We start from the raw sequence: 21,002 nt of genomic DNA, 5'->3' as shown, positions 1-21,002 counted from the left end.
ACACAAACATCATTGTGTTACAATTGTTTGCAGTATTCAGTACAGTAACATGCTGTATGGGTTTATAGCCTAGGAACAACAGGCTATACCACATAGCCTAGGTGCGTAGTACCATATAGGTTGATGTAAGTGTACCCTGGAATGCTCCAACAATGACGAAATGGCCTAGTAATGCATTTCTCAGAATTAATCTCCATCATTAAGCAACTCGTGACTATTTATTTTCTATTCCTGGCACAAAATGAGCATTCTATAAATGTTTGTTTAATAAATTACAGAGTCCCTATAGTGTCACTGGTTAGAAGTATTCGTTATAGCAAGGCCAAGATCAATATTGGACTACCTATTTTAGTTACTAAATCTTAAGCATTAGTCTTCTCAGGAAAAATTAGACAAAGTATTATGTAGTTTAAAAGTGCATTTCGTTTGATATTTTAATCAACACCAGTGGTATATTCTTTACATCTGTTGCAATATATTTCATTAACAAGTAATCTTAGAAAAATGAATTTCAATTAAGAGAGAATCTAAAGGTTAGCTGTTTCAGCTGCATCTGAATATATTTTTAGGATTAGTCCCAGCTTTACTCACATTAGATATCTAATAGAATAATTCATATCGTATGTAATTTATTTGGAGTACCAGGCAACAAAATAACCCATTATAACTGGACACTTTCAAAATAGTAATTATCCTGTTTGACAAGAATGATATTTTATTGTTATATGCAAATTTAAAATTAATACAGTGTTCTCTAAGTTAATAAACAGTGATTGTCATGACAGTTCAGCAAAATCTTAATGATATTAATATTTTCCCATGAAAATCAATAAAAGACACAGATGCCCAATACTTCTTCTATTCAACATTTTTAAGGTCCTACCTAATGCAATAAATCAGAAAGTTTAAATGAGCCTTATATTTGAAGAATAAATAAACAAAACTATCATTATTTGATGATATGATCACTGACATAAAAGAACTATCTAAGAGGATCACCCATCAAACTATTAGAATGAACAATTAGAATTAATCCATTCAGGTAGACAGATGAAATACCAGTCTTTAAAAATCTGTAGCTTGCCTTTATGCAAGCAACCATAAGAAATGGAAAAAGAATAAAAGGTTCTATTTATTAAAAAAAAAAAATCAACAACAACAAAACTACAATATGACTGGGAATAAACCTGACCAGGCCTGACTCAGAAAAACATGTTAACTGAAGAACATATATGACATATAAGTTCAGAGATACATTATATTTGTTTATAAGAAGACTCAGTATGCAATTTCTCCCTAAGATTAATATGTGAATACAGTGTAATTCTCACTTTCAATATAATTTTTTCGTAACTTAACAAGCTGATTCTAAAATTGCATGAAAGAGTACATGAGAAAGAGTAGCAAAGATAATTTGGATAAAAATGAAAAAGAAAGGGTTTGATCTGCTAGTTACCAAAACAGGTATTACTTTTTTAATACAGGGTTACACAGAAATACAAAAACTACAGTAATTATATCTACTATTAATAGAACAATAATAATTAATAGTAAAATGCCCAGGAATGATTCTATGCACATAAGGAAATTTACATTATGATAAAAGTAGAATTTTAAATTAGTAATAAAATGTGGACTATTCATCAAATGGTGTCAGGAGTATCTGCTATTCATTTGGGAAAAAGAATAAAGTTACATTCATACCTCACACATGAAAATACATCTCAGAAAATCTGAAGATCTAAACAACAATAACAATATAACTATAAAATAATTAGAGGAAAATATCAGAGGTACATTTGTTTTGAAGATAGGGATAGCCTTCTTTAGCAAGATGTCAAAACTGAAATTAAAGGAGAAAGAATTTATATATCTGGCATTATCAAAATAAAAACTTCTTTCGGGCAGAGAAGTCATAAACAAAATTAAAGCTCAAGAGATGGATTGGAAAAATATTTGCATGAATATAACAAATGTCTTCGATATTCAAAATCTTTTAAAATTAGGGATTAGTAAGAAAAAGCAAATGTTGCAATAGAAAAAAATGTGCAAAAACATGAATAAGCAATTCACAGAAGAAATACATATATTCAATAAACATAAGAAAAGAAGATAAACTTAACTAGTACTAATAACTAGGAAAATGCAATTTCAAATGTGAGATAGCATGAAAATAAAAAATTTAAAGCTTTATACTGAATGCTGGTAAGGGTGTAGGTTGTCTAGTATTCTACAAGCACTGTTAGGTGCAGCCACTTGAGAGAGCTATTTGACAGAATCAATAAAATAAATGCCTCTTCTTTATAATCTAGCAATTATATCACAATATGTACTGTAGAGAAATGCTTGATCATGTATACAAGGATATACACAGCCACATTGTTTGTAAGAGGGAAAAAGTAGAAACAAACTAAATGTTCTTCACTAGAAAAATGGGTTAACTATGGGTACATCCATTCTCAAGGACAGTATGTGTAGTTAAAAAAAAAATGGGAGAGATGTATAGGAAACAACACGTAGATATCTCCAACATCTATTATTGAATAAAACCAAACACATACGAGAAGTTGTTCAGTGTTACTTTTTATTTAAAATACCTGTGTACACAAAACAACAAAATACTATGATATATATTCTAAGTGAACACACATTTGAATGTGAGTGTTTATCACAAGGTCTGAACAGGTAACACTGTTAAAATTAGTTATTATTTGTAAAACAATTTAAAGCCCATCTGATGTTTTAACTCTTTTTTCAGATAATAAATATATTCTTCAATAAGGTCTTTCCAAAAGTGGCACAAATTATGTTAAAGTAGCCTTTGTTATAGTGTATCTAGATAGGTGAGTGATAGATGAATGACATAAAGCGATAGATATTCCTTGGAAGGTAAGAATAAGCCTCTGTATGTGATTTTCCTACTAATGTCCCTATTCTATTGATAAATGAGATATCATACTATTTCTGGGTTTTAAAATGGCAATTTTGTTAAATTTTTTAAATTACTGAGAAAATACTTTAGAATCAATGTAGTTATGGATACAAGAAATATATGTGGGCGTTTAGGAAGCCAGGACACCCGTAACCTTATTCCAGATGGCCTAATAGTTTACACGCAAGACTATGTTTGAAATGCTACTTTTTATGCACAAGTAGTGAAACTAACAACGTAATAGCAGCTTGTGAACATTTTCATGCTAGTCAAAACCTCAAATGTAAGGAAAAAATGATAAAATGTCCTTTATTTATGTAAAGTACATCAGGCATTCACACTTTAGAAATATTGCTTTTTAAAACGTGGTTCAAAACAGCTCTAATGGATCACCAGGGAAAAGATGATGAAAACAGAGATTCAATTCAACAGGTGTTAATGCTGTGCATTTTTCAGCAGTACTGGTGTTTGCAGCAAGAAATAGAAATTAAACGGATACTTCTAAGTCTTAAGAAGGCTGCACATCCTCTGGTTCTTTCATACTAGTATAACATTGTAAAGTCCATTAAAACTTTAGGAAATAGACGTTGCTAGTATTCAAATAATAACATTTAAGTAAGCAAAAATAATATAGATTTCATTAGGTACTTAAGAAGGTCATTTAAAATGTCACAATAGAAATTATACTTAAAAAATAAGAATATGTGACCTCAGGAAGCTAGGTGAGGTGGTGTGCACCTGTAACCCAAGCTACTCCAGAGGCTGAAGCAGGAGGATCTCGAGCCTGTGTTCAAGCCTGTAGTGTGCTATGATCATACCTATATGCATTCTAGCCTGGACAACATAGTGAGACCCCCATCTTGAAAAAAAATGGAAAAAAAATTAATTGTGACCTCAGGAAATAAGAAAAAGTTCTTAGGAGTATTATTAGAAGGATTTTAGAAAAAAAAACTTTGAGAAATAGCAGAATTTTTTTTTTCTGGAAGGAAATAAAAGTTCTAACTCTGTGAACAAGGACATATAAGAAAGACACAGTGATGAGAATCTAGGTTGAATTTTTCAGTTATTAAGGAAAATAAGTTGAAAAAGTGACCTCTAGTGGGCTCTTAGCTTCACTGATAAAGTAGGCTCTTTTCATGTTTGAATAAATATAAGTTTTTATTATAAATATAAATGGCTAAGGGCATAGAATCTGGATAACATATTTTAAAAACACTCTTAGTAACATAATGTATTTATTTGGATTGCTTTCCAAATTTAAAAATCATTGCTTCAAAAGGATTTCACAAATTATCTTAATATGATCTAATATGTTTAAAATAAGATAAACTGTAAAAACTACTTTTCACACATGGCATGATATTTATTGGTCAAAAATGCATTTCCAATTGGCCTATGACAGATACAAATTAGATTCCTGAGAAATGAGTGATGGAATCTCATCAGCACATGCATTTCTGGGACTGATGTTTCATTTCTTTTGCCTTTCATATAGCTGGTCTGTGGCACACCTCTCCAAGACTGACCAGACAGCACATGCTGGTTTCCCGAATTCTAAAATAAGATTAATCCTCTGCAGCAGTCCAGATCCTCTGCTGCTGAACAAGTGCCATAAACCAGCCCCAGTTGCTTCCTCACTTCAGGATCTTAAAGGAAATCTATTTACAAAGCTCACGTTGAAAACAAGATGTTGATTTATGGCGGTGTAATGAAATAGTAAAAATAGAAGAGATCTTCATTAAGATAAAGATGCAATTTCTCTTAAAAGGCATCATAAATTATGTTTTTTTTAAAGATAGCTGTCTTTTCCAAAGAGTAAAATAAAAAGTAAGATGATATTTATTACAGAAAATGAGAAATATCTTCACAAACTATGTTTTCATTTAAACATAAAAATCCCAAGCAAGTTCTAAAGAGCATGTGGAAATATGCTGAAACATCTTGAACTATCATTTTATTCTCTTCCTAACATAGGAAAATTGTCATAAGGTTAGGGAATTTTTTAGAAGCTGAACTTTATAGATCTTCCCCAACTAAATATTGTCGTTTTATAGTATTAGTGAGGTTTCAGTAACTGTTGAAAACTTCTGCTAGTTCAGCTCCATACTTACTTGGAGAAATATGAATATAAAATGGGGGTGTGTAAGCTTAGTATTACTTTGATTTACTTTTCATACATACTTCAAACTTCATTCAGACAGAGACTGAATCAAACAAGGATTAAAATTTACCCTATTCTCCATGATTTTTTTACTTCACTCTGTTGTAAGACAGAAACTACAAAACCATGAGTTTTTTTGTCATTATTAATAGCTACTTAGATTTTGATTATTCTAGGTCCTTTAGAAAAGAAGAGCTCTGAAAGATTATTTTAAGGGATTAGCTGGTTTTTCTCCAAAGTCATATAGATATTTGAAAATATTTTACATAGAATCATTTTTAGGGCTTTCATAGGATAATATGCCTTTATTCTTTTAGAATACAGATTCCTTAGTGACCATTTGACGACTTGTCTCACTAGTGGATACAACCGCTCAGAATGCATCTTGCATCCTTTAGTAGCCAGCTTATCAGGACCTCCCATGCTGCTCACTCCAAGCATGAGTGAGCAAACAGGTCTGGCTGTGTGCCCTAAAGGCCAGCATTCCTGGGCTCCACCAGACCACCAGGGAAGGGAACTCCTGAGTGCTGAGATTCCAAACGAGTCTGGGGGAATGGGTTTTTACTCAAGATGTTTGGGGAAAATAAGGACTCTATTCTGAGGAGTAGAGGAGCCCATGGTTCACATCCCAAGTTGATTTGTCTTAGTTAATTTTCCACCTACCAGTTTCATGAAAATGAACAAGCTGTATCCCAGGACATCTCCTTTCATAGTTTCCCAACATCTTCTTTACTGCACAGAAAGAACACAGGAAACACCTCTCTTTTTATTCACAAAACAAACAAAAGGGTTTATAGCCCTAAAGTTTAGAAACCGCAAGGCAATGGAAGATTCACAAAGACCTACAGAGGAGGATTATGAAAATAATATATTCAATATATCTAGTGCCTATCAGCCTATCATTTGACTTGGACTTCCATATTTTATCTCTAATCTTTACCACAACCATATATAGTTGTCAATATTCCAGTTTACCGGGAAGAAAACTGAGATTCAGATAAGTAAGGCGACTTGTCAACAGCACTCATTCCAACAGAGCACAACCACTGAATGGTACAGGGAGTGCCACGGTCTTTCTGACTCCACTGTACCTGTTTTTGTTCTACTTCCCAAGACAGTCTAGAGGGGCAAAGAAGGGCAGTGGTCACTCCTTAAGCCATCAGGACTCTCAATATCTGAATAATCATTTTTATTAGCTGCCTAACCAATAATTCTGAACTCCGACTTAGCAAGTTCTGTCCCACCAATGTATTATACTAAAAAGAAAACAAAACAAACAAAACAAAAACTGCCACTTGTGACTTTTCTCAGTCTACCTAGAAGTCAAATACATCCACTCAAATACACAAAGATATTAAAGATATCAAATATAATTCCCAAATGAAGAATCTGCTTTTAATGTAGATATAGAAAGCTTTCAGGTGGCTTGTGTAGGTTGTCAATTAATATACTTTTAGAATGCAGCAAAAAGAAGACAAAGAATTGCTATGCTTTGGGATATTGAAAAAGAAACAAAAGGCTTTGAATCTCTGAGGCATTTTTTTGACTTTAGAACACTAGAATATCCTCGGCTGCTTGCCAAATAAATGTTTGGTTGAATATAAATAAGCTTATTATCATGCATGTTTATAAGTGCATACAATACAATTGAGGGTTAATAAAACATTTTATACCTAAGCATACTGATATTTTACCAGGAAAAAAAAAAGCATTTTAGTATGCCTATGTTTCTTAGACATTTTTCATCTTAACACTTTCCAAATTCTGAGTACCAGCAGCATTTCCAAAGTACTTCATTACACTACAGCTTCTTACTATTATAAGCCACAGAAAATACATGAAATTTAACATGTATAACTTCAGAAATCTCTTCTCATTTACCATGGCAAAGATCCTTTAACTTTCTAAATTCACCTTCCCTGAAATGTGTATCAAATGAATGTGCATTTGAGTAATAAAATGAAAAAAAAAATAATAAAGTCAGAACAAAGTTACCTTTTAAAGTATCCATTCCACAGGTCTCCACTTAGAATGCCTTCTTTAACTGGAATGGAATATTTTAATTATAGGTTATGCTATGGTTTGAATGTTCCCTTCAAAACTCATGTTGAGACTCAGTCTTCAATGTGGCAGTACTGAGAGGCGGTGACTGACTCATGAGGGTTCTGCCTTCATGAATTGATTTATCTATTCATGGATTAATGGATTAGCGGGTTATCATGATAGGGAAACTGGTGGCTTATAAGAAAAGAAAGAGAGACCCGAGCAAGGACATCAACATGCTCAGTCCCCTCACCATGTGACGCCCCACCAAAGAGAGTCTCCACCAGCAAGAAGCTCTCACCAGATGTGCCTCATCCACCTCGGATTTCCCGGCCTCAACAACTGTAAGAAATAAGTTCCGTTTCTTTACCAATTACCTAGTTTCAGGTACTGTGGTATAAGCAACAGTAAAGAGACCAACACAGATTACTAGGTAGGGCATCATCTCATCATTATGCTTGTTATTTGGTACTGCTACCAATACAATTTAAGGAAATAATGCTATCTTAAAGAGAATGATAATGGTAATCAGTTGACATATGTATCTGTTCAAGGAACAGATATATTAAATTATGTTGAAATTTAAGACATAGGTCAATCTAAGAGGGTTTTGAAACCTACAGAAATTGTTTCTCTAATGACATGTGTGATTACTTTCAATTTGTTCTAGTCACATCCAACTGTTGTTTCAAATTATATATATATAAAATATATATAAATATATATTTAAAAGAGGTACTGCATTATTTTATATATATTTAAAAGAGGTACTGCATGTTTATATACATTTATATATATATATATATATATATATATATAAATGTATATAAATTGCTGAAGCTACCTACCTGAATAATTTGAAGACAATATATAAAAGGCTGGTGCCACGGATAATGAAAGTGATGTGAGGCAGCTACACAAGCTGACAGGAGAAAGAGTATTTCACATTATAAATGGAAACTTTTACTTCTCAAACTAGTTGAATCTGATGACCATATAATTTGTATAGAAAATGCAGTTGAGAGAAGCAGTTAAAATATTCTAACAAGGCGGGTAGTTTCCAGCTTCACATTTGGGACTTCATTCCAAATTTATTTTTCCAAACTTTATTCAGAATAAATGTAAACTGAAAAATTAACCTTTTTTTGTCTTTTTCGTTTTCTTTTCTTTTTGTGTGTGTGTGTGGTGATAGGATAGAAGGAAAAAGTGAGAAAAGTTACTAGAAATATTATAATTAGCCTCCCTGTGTGTCTTATCTCTGGACAAAGCCTCAAACAGAAGTTTGATATCAATTTTTTTCTAAGTACTCTATTTTATTAATGATCATGTATTATAATATGCAGTTTCTCACAACTAATTATTTAAAAGTTGAGTGCTGATAGCAAACTTCCTCTCGGTAGTATTTCAAGACACCTACTAATTTACCATGCTTCCTTATTTTTATTAGACTTATTGACATTTTCACATTAAGTTCATTCTGTTTGAAAGGGAAGTCTTTTGGTGACACTTCTAAATACTGTACAGAAGGAAATTGTATCCAACAATTGGAGCAAGAACAATTTGATAACTTAAGCTCCTTGCGTTATACCATCTGAAATAAAATCTTTTCAGAGGTCCTGCACATCATATGGTTAACTAATTAAGGATTGTGACATTCTTGGGACATACCAAGGGCAACTAAAAGGGAAGTATCTTTAAACTCCCCTTTCCTTTCCTGGCCTATAGAAAGAAAGGCTCTTATAGAATTACCAGTAGTTAATATCATCCTGTGTATTTGTTAAAGGTCAACAAGAGTAAATCAGTTAATAACAACTTCCTAAAAGTTTAGGACAGGAAACAATAAACGATGTTATACTCAAATAAAAGTTGCAAGGATAATTTAGCTGGATAGAGTGTAATTGCTGAAGTTAAAATTAGCCAGGTCACCTTACTCTCATGGAAAAAAAAACTCTGGAAACCTGGCAACCAAATAAATAGATAGGAAGTTCCTTCCCATTAATAAACTTCTTTTAGTTCTATGCTGAAATGTTATTTCAAGGACACACACCAAATAATTCACCAATACTACTTTCTAAACCAAGTTTGGTCACTCACCTAACTATTACAGAGACCTAAAACATAATAAATATAAGTGTATATTATAACTACTTAATCTAATTATATTAGAATTGAAAATATTTTATAAATTACATAGTGTAACCCCATTGTTTTAAATGAGGAAACAGGTCCAGAGAAGTGACTTACCAATGTTTGGTCAGCTATGTTTACATTGGCTGTTTACCATACTACTGACATTCTGTGGGTGGTAAATATTTTTCAGAATTACCTGTAAGTGTTTTTAGCATTCTAGCTCAATGTTTTTGAGAAAGACTATGTTCAACTTTATTGCTCAATATATATAGCAGCAGCGTATACCTTTAAGTGATTGCTAAATATATAACTCAAAAGTTAAAAGTGATTTAGCAGCTAAACAGGAAAGACATCTTTTAAATAACAAAGCATAATTACACACTATCAAAAACCATTTAAAAACATTGCTTGTACTAACCATTCTGTGGTTTAAAACTTGAATTACAAGAAGATGATTCCGCCTGTCTTCCACTAGGTGGCAATATATCTTTTTCTTTAATAGTTTGTTCTTTCCCGGGCTCTGATTTTAAATGGATCTCTAGTATTTTTACTTTGAATAGATACGATGAAAGTTAAGATTGAGGAAACCTTAAGGAAGACACTTAAGAAATTGGGATATACGAGGGGAATAGACAGGGTGGTTTTATAAAAACCTGGCATCAAAACTAAAATAACAGATTCTGCTTCATATATGTTCATAATTAAAATTTACATTATATCTTACCAGATAACGTTAAACATTTGGTAGTTGTTTGTTGATTTAATTGAAATTGGGTTTGCTATTCATTATTGGTAGTGAAAAGCACTGAAATTATTTCTAGTCCTGCTCTTTCTTAATCCTTTTATTTAAAACATCATCCTCAAGGTTAGATCATGATATTTTAAAAGGCATTACTTATTTCCATAACCTGTTTTCAATCATGACTTTGGGGGAAAAAACTACAAAATCACTTATTTTTGTATAGTTAAGCCTTTAATTTAGTGTATTTATGTCGATACTTAGAGATATGTTGTTTCTGAACTAATTAGACGAACATTATTTTCTTCAAAGTAAGATAGGTTTCAGTGAACTATTTGACTAGTGTATTAGTTTCTCAGGGCTGCCATAACAAAATACCACATATTGGGTGACTTAAACAACAGAAATTCATTTCCTCACAATTCCGGAGGCTAGAAGGCCAAGAACAAAGTGTTGACAGGTTTGGTTTCTTCCGTGGTCTCTCTCCTTGGCTTGCAAATGGTCACCTTCTTACTGTATCCTCACATAGTCGCCCCTCTGTCTGTGTTATCTGTGTCCTAATCTACCCTTCATATAAGGACATCAGCCCTATTGGATTAGGACCCAACCAATAACTTAATTTTAAAGGCCCTAAATCCAAATACAGTCACATTCCAAGGTGTTGGGCGTTAAGACCTCAACATATGAACTTGGGTGAGGGGAGGGGCATAATTCAGCTCATAATAACTAGCAAGTCTGCATACACAGCATACTCCACATTTATAACCGACGTATTGTGATATAGAACCAAGAATGCTAGGTTGGAAGTTGTAATTCAAAAGCTGAGAAAAGTTCTTATAGATTATTTAATCCACTGATTCTTGACCCTTGATGCACAAAGATTTTTTTGAGGCACTAGCAATGCCCTGACAAAATACCCAGATATTATGATGAATTAATTTGGAGAGGGACCAGTCACTAGTATATTTTTAATACTTTCTAAATGTTTCTAATAGGACCACAATGAATAATCATTGATTTAGACAAATATTTCCCAGACGTGGTTAGAGAATCATCCAGAGGGTTTATTAAAATGCAAATCACAGGCCAGGTGCAGTGTGGCTCTTTCCTGTAATTCCCAGAACTTCTGGAGGCCAAGGCCGGAAGATTGCTTGAAACCAGGAGTTCAAGACCAGCCTAGGTAACAAAGCAAGACCCCATCTATACAAATTTAAAATAAAATTATCCAGGCACAGTGACATGCACTTGTAGTCCCAGCTACTCGGGAGGCTGAGACAGAGGACTGCCTGAGCCCAGGAGTTGGAGGCTGCAGTGAGCTATGATCACACCATTGCCCTCTAGCCCAGGTGACAGAGTGAGTCCCTATTAAAAAAAAAAAAAAATCAGTATCCTAGCCACTGCTGCCCTCATTCTGAATCTCCAGAAATTAGAGCCAAGCCTATTTACCACTCTCCCTAGTAATTATTACAAATTCTGAAGTCTGAGAATCTCTGATCTCATCTAACTCTCTCATTTACAGATGAGAAGACTGGAGTTTAGAGAAGTTAGTTCATTCAAGGTTACACAGCTGGAGAATGGTGGAGGCAGAATGAGAATAAATGTTTAATCTGACTTCTAATCTAATTTCTTAGCAGGATTCTTTGTGCTTATAAGCAACTGTGTGGACTTTAGACTTTATTTAGCAACTGTGTAGCCGTGGCCCCAGAATTAGAGGGCACCTACTCTTTCTTTCAGGCATGTGCTGACACATCTAGAAGGCAGGATCATCACAGCTATGTTTATATAAGGGTTGCATTCCAAGAGCCCTTATTGTGTTTGGAAATAATAAGCAACATCAGAACTGATGGGTGATTGTGAATACTGCATTATACCTGGTGCTCCTTTGGCCCCACCTCCTCAGACTCAGGCCTGAGTCCTAGGTGAATGGACACTGCAGTAGAAAGTTAAGTGACGTGAAGTGAATGGAAGAGTCTGTTTCCCTAGTACCAAAAGTTTCTGCAGCAAGAGTCAGTGGCGTCTGAATCACTTGAGGCCTAGAGTCACTCACCATCAGAAAGTGGCAGCCTCCGTGCAGTCATCAGCTGGCAGAGAAGCAGCAGTAGTTGACTAGCAGGCTGGAGTTGAGAGCAAAATGTTAGCTCAAGAGTTTTCAATTCTGCTGTTATTATTCATTTGAAAAACATAGCTTCAGACAGCTCTTGGGAGCTTGATGTCAGAGCCTGAATTGGTGAGGTTCGTGAACACACACATACAAATAAGTTGTGAAACAATTTTAGAAAATGAATGTGTAAAAATCCAAAAAATTCCCAGCACTTTGGGAGGCTAAGGCAGGTGGATAAGCTGAGGTCAGGAGTTCAAGACCAGCCTGGCCAACACGGTGAAACCCCGTCTCTACTAAAAATACAAAAAATTAGCCCAGCGTTTTGGCGGGCGCCTGTAATTCCAGCTACTTGGGAGGCTGAGGCAGGAGAATCGCTTGAACCCGGGAGGTGGAGGTTGCAGTAAGCTGAGTTTGCACCATTGCACTCCAGCCTGGGCAACAAGAGTGAACCTCCATCCCAAAAAAAAAAAAAAATCCAAAAAATAAAAAGCAAATTCCTCAGAGGGTGATGGTAGATGCACACTATATTTTCCATAAAGATTTAGCTTAAACATTTTCTTGAATAGGTACTTGCTCATGCAATTACATTTTTCTTGTTCTTACTAATGACCCTAACTTGAGTGGGCAAGGAGGAGTAAAATGTGAAAATCAATCTGAAACAAAGATAGAACATAAATGAAGTTTTTTTAAAAGTCTGTATTTACAACAACATAATTCAATTTACTGTCCATATTTCTGGAACATAGCTATTTTCTAGACTGATGTACTCCTACATTTTAATTTAAGTCATCATAGGGCTAGTTCTAACCTCTCTTCGGTGTTTCAAAAGTGAGGATCAAGAGCCACCTACTCTAAAATCATCTGGTGCTGGTTGCTGAAAATGCAAGATTCTAGGTCCCACATAAGATTCATCAAATCTCTGAGGGTGCCTATGGGAAACTGCATTTTTAACAGCTACCTTGGTGATTTAGAAAGGTCTCTCCCTGTGTGATCTAACTCTACAGTGTCCTATGGATAGTATTACTTTTTCTTTCCTTGTGAGCTCTTATTATCTATGGTTTATAATAAAATTTTCTGAGGATGGAAGGATTGGGGGAAATTATCTTCTTTTTGAGCCTTTTCTTATGGAGTCAATAACATGGGGAAGTCATTGCCAGAGGTCCCCTCTTTTTAGCATCCTTATCTGATTTTCTATTTGGCCATGTGCCTGGGTCTTCGAGCAGGCTGCTGTAAAGAGCCAGTATGACAGGCACTCAGAAATTGTACATTAAACTTTAAATTTCTTCTCCTGAAATGTATTCAAAGGAAAGCCCCCATCCCAGAGAAGAGAGTAACTTGTGAATATATATATATATATATATATATATATATATATATATCTGAAATATATATATGAGAAATATATATATCTAAAATTCCAAGTTTCTATTTCTGAGTTGTTATAAATAAATGTATTTTGAATATTTAAAGGATTTAAGAAATTCAAATGTGAGCTGCTGGCAATCATATAACTTGATGAGACTTGTTTTACCATGCTATTAGCTTTACTATGCTTGGAATTAGATTTTTGAATGTTAGGTTTCCTAAATATCTCCCTGGCTTTAAGTTTAGGCATGTTTGGAGGTTTAATAAATACTTTCAGATGCAGCCTCAAAGTCAAATACCTCTGATTTGGAAGGAGTTTTAGGCATTATTACCCTGGTGGAGAAGTACCTCTGCATATCGATCCTTCATCTTTACTTAGACTGCTCCAAAATTAGAAATTAAGCTTTAAAAAGCAAATGGAGAAGCAAATACCTTCATGTAAATTCAGACTTTTTTTTTTTTTTTTTTTTGCTGTTTATTCACACAGGTGGCAATTTTGGATACTACCTCTTTGTTGGAGGGGATAGAACTCAGGGAAATCTAAGAGAGCCTAAAGGTAAGAGACGATTGAAAATGGGAGGTTCTGAGATGGAATTTAGGGAGCAGATCGAATGTCCCTGAAAATAAGCTTCATGGCATTCACCATTTATCCACCTAGCCCTGCTAAAGCAAATAGTTAAACTAGCACTGTCTACAAAAGCATTTTAATGAAAAAGTCAATTTACTCCTTCCTGAAGGCTAACTCTTATCTTTCTAGGAAGGACCTTGCAGGAATATTTCCTTTATTTTCTTTCCTCCTCCTTCGCTTAGCCCTGACGCTGGACCTCTTAGCCTAAAGAAGAACTGAACACTATGGATACTAAAATTTTTCTAATTACATGATTTGCATCCATTTGGGGGCTGGGTGTCACTGTTTGGCTCTGTTTGTCTTTCTCAAAGACCCAGTGAAATTTTGCCAGAGTGTAAAACAGGACTTTATTCATTTGTTTGAGAGAGAAAAAAGTCATCAATTGCTTAAAAAAAAAAAAAGTTTCACACTTCACAAAAAAATAACAAAACACAGAAAAAGTGGCACAGGCAATAGTATAACACCAACACACCCACCCAGAGATGAATCCTCAGAGAAAAGTGCAATCATGGTATGCCTGTCCAGATTTTAATCCTCGAAGCAGGTGTGCACAAGAGATCTTAGTCAACGGTGGGACTGATTTATGGATTTCTACTCTGAAACCCACAGTAAGGCTCTTCTCCAAAGAAAATGCCAAAAAAAAAAAAAAAACAGTATGAGAGGAATTTGGAATTGGTGGCTGGACATTTGTGGGAAAAGAAGTAAAGGGACAAAAAGTTAGATAAATTAATCCCATGATTATTTTTCTTCCCAATTTCTCTCTTCCTTCTTTCCATCCTTCCTTCCTTTTCTTTACTCCGTCCCTCTTCTCTTCTCCTTCCTTCCTTCCTTCCTCCCTCCCTCCCTCCCTCCCTTCCTTCCTTGTTTATTTTTTACTTAAAGAATTTATTCTCTAAATAATTTGGGAAAACAAGATATTGTATGCATTCTTCAAGTCTCTATGTTTTAGCAGCATTAGAGTTCTTTATGATTTTTTAAGTCATGCATTATTTTTAAAGATCCATTTAAAAACAGGAAAAAGCTTGAGCTGGAGTGAGGGATCCGTTTTGATCTGTAGAGGGAACATTGTCTTCATTAAGCACTGAGCACAGTGTAGCTTTCTAAGTAAGGTGCAATTTGTTACATAGTAACTAGGAAAAGGGATAAGCTTCTCTCCTGCATTGTAACCATACTTTCTACAGCATGGCAAATTATATCTAGAACTCCTCTTATAGCCTTTTCCATCCTTAGCATTAGGCTGACTTACAATTTTTAAGCACTAGGAACACGCTGTATTTATAATTTAAGATTATTACAGCTAAGCCAACTAAAATATATATATATAGTTATATACACATAACTGTGTATATATATATATATATATATATAGTTTTATGTGGGGTGCATGTGTGTGTGGAGTGTGTGTGTGTGTGTGTGTGTGTGTATATATATATATCATGAATGAACCTATAGGCTTACATGATATTATGTATCAAACATTTTTTCAGTGACTCTCCTGTAAGCTTGAGGCACAGAGTAAAATCCTGAGTAATTACATAAACAACCACAAAATCAAACCAGCGATTACTCCCACCTCTGGTTAAAAATGAGAAAAGATCATTAAAGTAAGTCAAGGTCACAAAAGATTTCTTATAGAGGTATGAGAGCATTTTGACTACCTGAGAAAGATAAGTTGAGGCTAAAAGCATATCTCTTTTACCAACATGGGAGTCAATCATATTCAATAGTACAAAAAGCTGCTACATGTAGAATTATATTTGCTTTTCAAGACACCGCTATGTGATAAGCCCACAGGTGGTATTATTCACATGTTCAAGTAAAGGAAACTAAGATAAATAAATGGAAAGGCCACAAAATTTGGAACCGGTTTCCTGACATAAGAGTCACTATTTTTTCATTACATTATCACATTCTCATCTTTCTGTTTCAGAGTGACAACCGTACTAACTACACAATGCTGAAACATGATGGAGTGGGATTCTCAGTAGCCCTTGGGTAGGCTGTGAGAATTAAAGCAAGTAAACACATGAAAAGCACTTAGAATAACGCCTGCCAGTTATGTGCCTGTGTGTGGATTAAAATGTTTATGTATGTCTGTATATATAAATATGTGTATCAGTTTGTAATATATACTTACATATTTGAACACATATGCACATGCCTGCACATATGCATAGATTTATATTCTAATGCTCACACACAACTTGAAAAGAGATAAGCAAATAATAATGAGCATAACCAGGTTAGCTATTCAAACAGAACACCTGTACCAGACCTCTAATCCTAAAGATTAAAATAAAAGAATTAAATTTTTTTCAGTTTCTTTATTCACTAGGCCTGGAGAATACAGGTTTCTAAAACGTTCTAAGTTCCATATCTAAAGTGGGAAAAGCAGAGGTTGCCTTAGGAATATGATTCATGAAGCAGAGGCAAAGAGCTCCGCAGCTGCTGCCCAGCCAGTTTACAAAGCTAGAAGGCAATCATTCAGGCCCACCAGCCTGAGGCATATGTTACTGCCTCAACGTTCTGGGCCTTCTGTCAAATAAAATGCATTTGGAGGAGGAAAAGGGAGTGAGAAGGCCCACCTTCTCACCCCAATCCCAGTTTAGCTCTTGGGCAGGCTAAATTTTCTACACCCCTTTGAGGTCATATTTCACCTTCAGGAAAAAAATGAAATTTCCAAGCTGGGAGAAACTGTTCAGGAGGCAGCTGGGGGTGTGTGTGTGTGTGTGTGTGTGTTGCGGGGGACAGTGTATGTGTGGTCTGGTGTGTGTGGTTGTGTGTGTATGTGTGTAGTGTGTGGTGTATGTACTGTGTGTGTGCTGTGTGTGTGGTATGTGTGTTGCATATGTGTGGTGTGTATGTGTGGTGTGCATGTGTGGTGTGTTGTGTCTGTACGTGTGATGTGATGTGTGGTGTGTGTGGTGCGTGTGTGGTGTGCGTATGTGGTGTGTGTGTATGTGTGTGGCATGGTGTGTATGTGTGGTGGTGTGGTGTGTGTGGTATGTGTATATGTGTGGTGTGGTGTGGTGTGGTGTGTGTAGTATGTGTGGTGTGTATATGTGGTGAGTGTGGGGTGTGTGGTGTGGGGTGTATGGTATGGTGTGGTATGTGTGGTGTGTGCATGTGGTGTGTGTGTGGTGTGGGTATGTGATGTGTGTGTGGTGTGTGTGTGTGTGGTGTGTGTGTGTGGTGTGTGTGTGGTGTGTGTGGTGTGGAGTGTGTGGTGTGTGGAGTGTGTGCGTGGTGTGTATGTGGTGTATGTGGTGTGTGTGGTGTGGAGTGTGTGGCGTGTGGAGTGTGTGGGTGGTGTATGTGGTGTGTTTGTGTGGGTGTGTGGTGTGTGGTGTGTGTGGTGTGTGGAGTGTGTGTGCATTTGAGGGCGGGAGAGCGTTGGCGCCTGCCCATCTCTTTCAATCCCTGGGTGCTGGGGTCATCCTAGTGCCCAGCTAATTGACAGCGCAGCAGTACATTCCCCCTCTGGACTGGTACCGCCACCTTAGCAGTCAGTTGCCTAGTGGATGGTGAAGAGTCACCAAAGGAACTTTTTTCCAGAAAGTTCCTTTGGTGACGAAAAGCTCCAGAAGCGCTTGAGAAACGGAAAAGTGTGGAGGTGAGGAGGAGCTGAGGGAAGCTACCATAGAATGAGCAGAATTGATTCCAGGACACGGGATTGGGCAAAGGGAGAAGAAAAGAGAAAATTTAACACCTCCCTGAGGATGCTCGTGGCACTCCAAGCCTCCGCGGCGCTCCGCGTCCTGGCTGCATCTCCCTTCTGGCCCCAGCGCTTGAGTGGCGCACGCTCTCCTGCACCTGAGCAGGCTGCACCGCCCTAGAAGTGGGGAGGAAAGTCCAGGCCGACTGGCGACGGAGAGAGATGGCAAGCGCCGGACCGCGCGGAGAGGCTGCCTCGGAGATCCTGCCCTCGAAATTGGAGCGGAGGAGGAGAACTGCGTTTCCCAGCCCTTTTCTGAGTGTGACTGGCCCTGGGTGTTCAAGGGGTCCCCGTTCAGGGTCATGTTCCCTGGGCAGGGCGCCTAAGAAAACAAACTTAAAGAACAGGCAGCGCGGGGCAGGGGCTGGGAGCCCGGCAGTGAGGACCCCAGGAGAGAGACCCCCCTCTCCTACACCGCACACCCGTGCTTACAACTAGCCCGCGCACGACTGCGGCTGCAATACGCGGGGCTTTGGGCGTCGACGGCCGCAGAGCTTATGAGTGGGCCTCTGGGACCTTGGGAACTTTCCCGAAGAGCGTCCGGTTTCCATTTTGGCTCACCAAGGCCTGGAAAGAGACATGTGTGCGTCCCTTCCCGGGCCTTCCGGTTTCCACATGCCTGTGGGCGTAAGCTGTACCCTGCAAGCACATCCTGGGAAGTACAGGTGGCCCCAACTCACAAAGGCCTCGGAGAAGTAGAGAGGCAAATGAGGCCAGGGAGTCGGAATCTTCTGGGCAGACATGCCTGGAGTTCTGTAGCCCCAAGCGCAGGGTCAGTCCTGGACATTCTTCCACTGATTGGGATGCAACAAATGCTGGTGCAGCAACCGCTTGGCTTTCAATTTCCCGTCTTTAGGACCTACGGTTCCGGCACTGGAAGCCTGGCCACCTCCCTGGACGTCGTGGGACCAACTTGGCTTGATGTTTGCATGACCCTGTGACCTCATTTCCTCCTCAGCTGTGAGTGACCTCAACTACTTTGGCAGACGGATGAAGTTATAAAATCCTAGAAACTCCCCTCTGAGAAGGTTCAGACACAGGAGAAGGTTATGAAATACTTCTGAAACTTGAAAATGCAGCATTAAAATAAAACATTTCTGAGTTTGCCTTGGCTGAAGGCAAAAGTAGCTTTGGGCACCTTTCCTCTACTACTTCCCGCCAAAATGGTCTTGTGGACAGATTGAACAACATAGCTACCCAGCCCGAAACTGTCTGCCACTAACACACCTACCTGGATCGCCTGGGCAGTAGCTCAGCCAAGGCTCGGCTTTCTTCCTGATCCTATGATTAAGTTAATGACCGTACAAAAGAAAACACAGGGGAGGCTCACCAAGTGTCTACTCGTGGCAAAGCGTCTATACGTACTCTTTAGAAAATATGATTCCAGCCTATAACGAAGTCAATATCAAAAAGCAATATTTACCTTTTTCTAGACCTCATTTCATCCCTGTCTGAATCCTCAGTGGAAAGTAAAGCTGCTTTCCTGAAAAGGAGATTCCAGAAGGATCAGATAGAAAGGAAAAGGGCATTCAAGATTTTTTTTTGAAAGGCCTAGGATAAGCTGTGTTTGTTTGCTTGTTTGTTTGTTTGTTTTTGAGAGATTTTTGCTCCAGAGATCTAGTGTCCCAGACATGGACAATTTAGTCGGCCTATCAGACATTGTGATTTAAGGATCTGTGGATGCAATTTGCCTCCAAATTTGACTTCAATTTGCTTCCTCACGTCAAATTTCCTTCATAATCTTGACCTTTCTCTAGAAAGACCTCTTTGTGTTCAATTGGAGCCTGATTAACTCATCAGGGAAAAAAAAAATATTTCCCAGTGCTAGAAGTACTTTAAAAAATAGTAGAACCTGCTTTGCTTATTTTACAGATGAGAAAACCAAGCTGCAAGTAATTCAAATTATGTCAACAAAGATGCAGTGTCACGCTAGTTGTGAATAGCAGAGGTAGAATTAGAATTTTAGACAGTTTGCTGGGGTTTAGTGTTTCAGATCATCCAAATGTTGCCTAGGAAAACTGAGAGCAGGCCTCAAAGAAATGTAGCAAATATATATATATATATATTTGGATGATCTTAAAGAACCACACCTGCTTTTTTAGCAATCTAGGTCACATTCCCAATAGGTACATCATTTTGCTCTATACCTACTCTTAACCTGCTCCCTGCCCTAATCATAACTTGCTTTGTAGAGGTCCTAAAATAATGAAGGCTTTAATATCCTGTTAGGGAAAACCATTGCAAAGCCTGTAATGAGACCTTGTATACACTTCCCATGTCAGACCTTTTCACAAGCTTCCACCTTCATATACAGGGGAGAGTCTTCAGGATGTGAAGAAAGGAGAAAAAAAATGAGACAACTCCTGTGATAGCTAAACCAGTGCAGTGCCTGTTTCCAGAGTGACTATGAAGATGCCTGTGGATTAAGTGCATGCTATCCTAAGGCCTAAAGAATTATCGTTCATTTGGTTTTATGTCTAATGGTTACTGGTCGTATCACATACACCTAGACTTTCTACACTCAATATTTAATTAGTTATCAGTATGTAAAGAGTACAGAAGTACTTTTCATAAAGGGAAGAGTAGAAAGAGGAGGGCAATCGTCAGGTTTTTCTGCATTGTAATGTTTCAGGACGCGTTTTTTGCAGAGGCTATACAGTTGTCCATGCCTTTAGAAGGAAAGATGGGCCTTGCAATACATAGACCATGATCAAACCACGGTCATTCCACCTTGGTTTTTAGGGAAACTCCCCACAGGATCTCTAAATAGCTTATGACAGAATGCCATTGTAATGACATTAGAGTACAAGATACCCTTCTATTTAGCCATCACTAGTAGAACCTAAAGTGGGCTTTTCATCTGGTCTCACAGATCCCAGCCTGAACATTGTTTGTCTCAGACCATTTGTGAAGATGCTAATTATCCTGCTGCTGAAAAGAATGCTGGTGTCCCAGTGACAGGTTAGCTGCATGGCAGGCATCTTTGTCTAAATGATTTGTCTTTGATCAAGATGCACAACACTTTCCAGCTAAATATTTTCGAAGTGATAATAAAAACTTATCTTCTTTTAGGCTCAAAATTGGCTTAGAGTACATAAATGCAAATGGTGCCAGGTTTATCATTCTCTCTTATGCTGTTTCTTCCCTTCTTTTCAGGAACTCAGTGAAAATAAGTGACATTTACTCAA

The sequence above is a fragment of the Homo sapiens genome, chromosome 4 (genome assembly GCF_000001405.40).
Source record: "Homo sapiens chromosome 4, GRCh38.p14 Primary Assembly".
In the NCBI taxonomy this organism is placed as follows: domain Eukaryota; kingdom Metazoa; phylum Chordata; class Mammalia; order Primates; family Hominidae; genus Homo; species Homo sapiens.
This window is presented reverse-complemented; position numbering follows the sequence as displayed.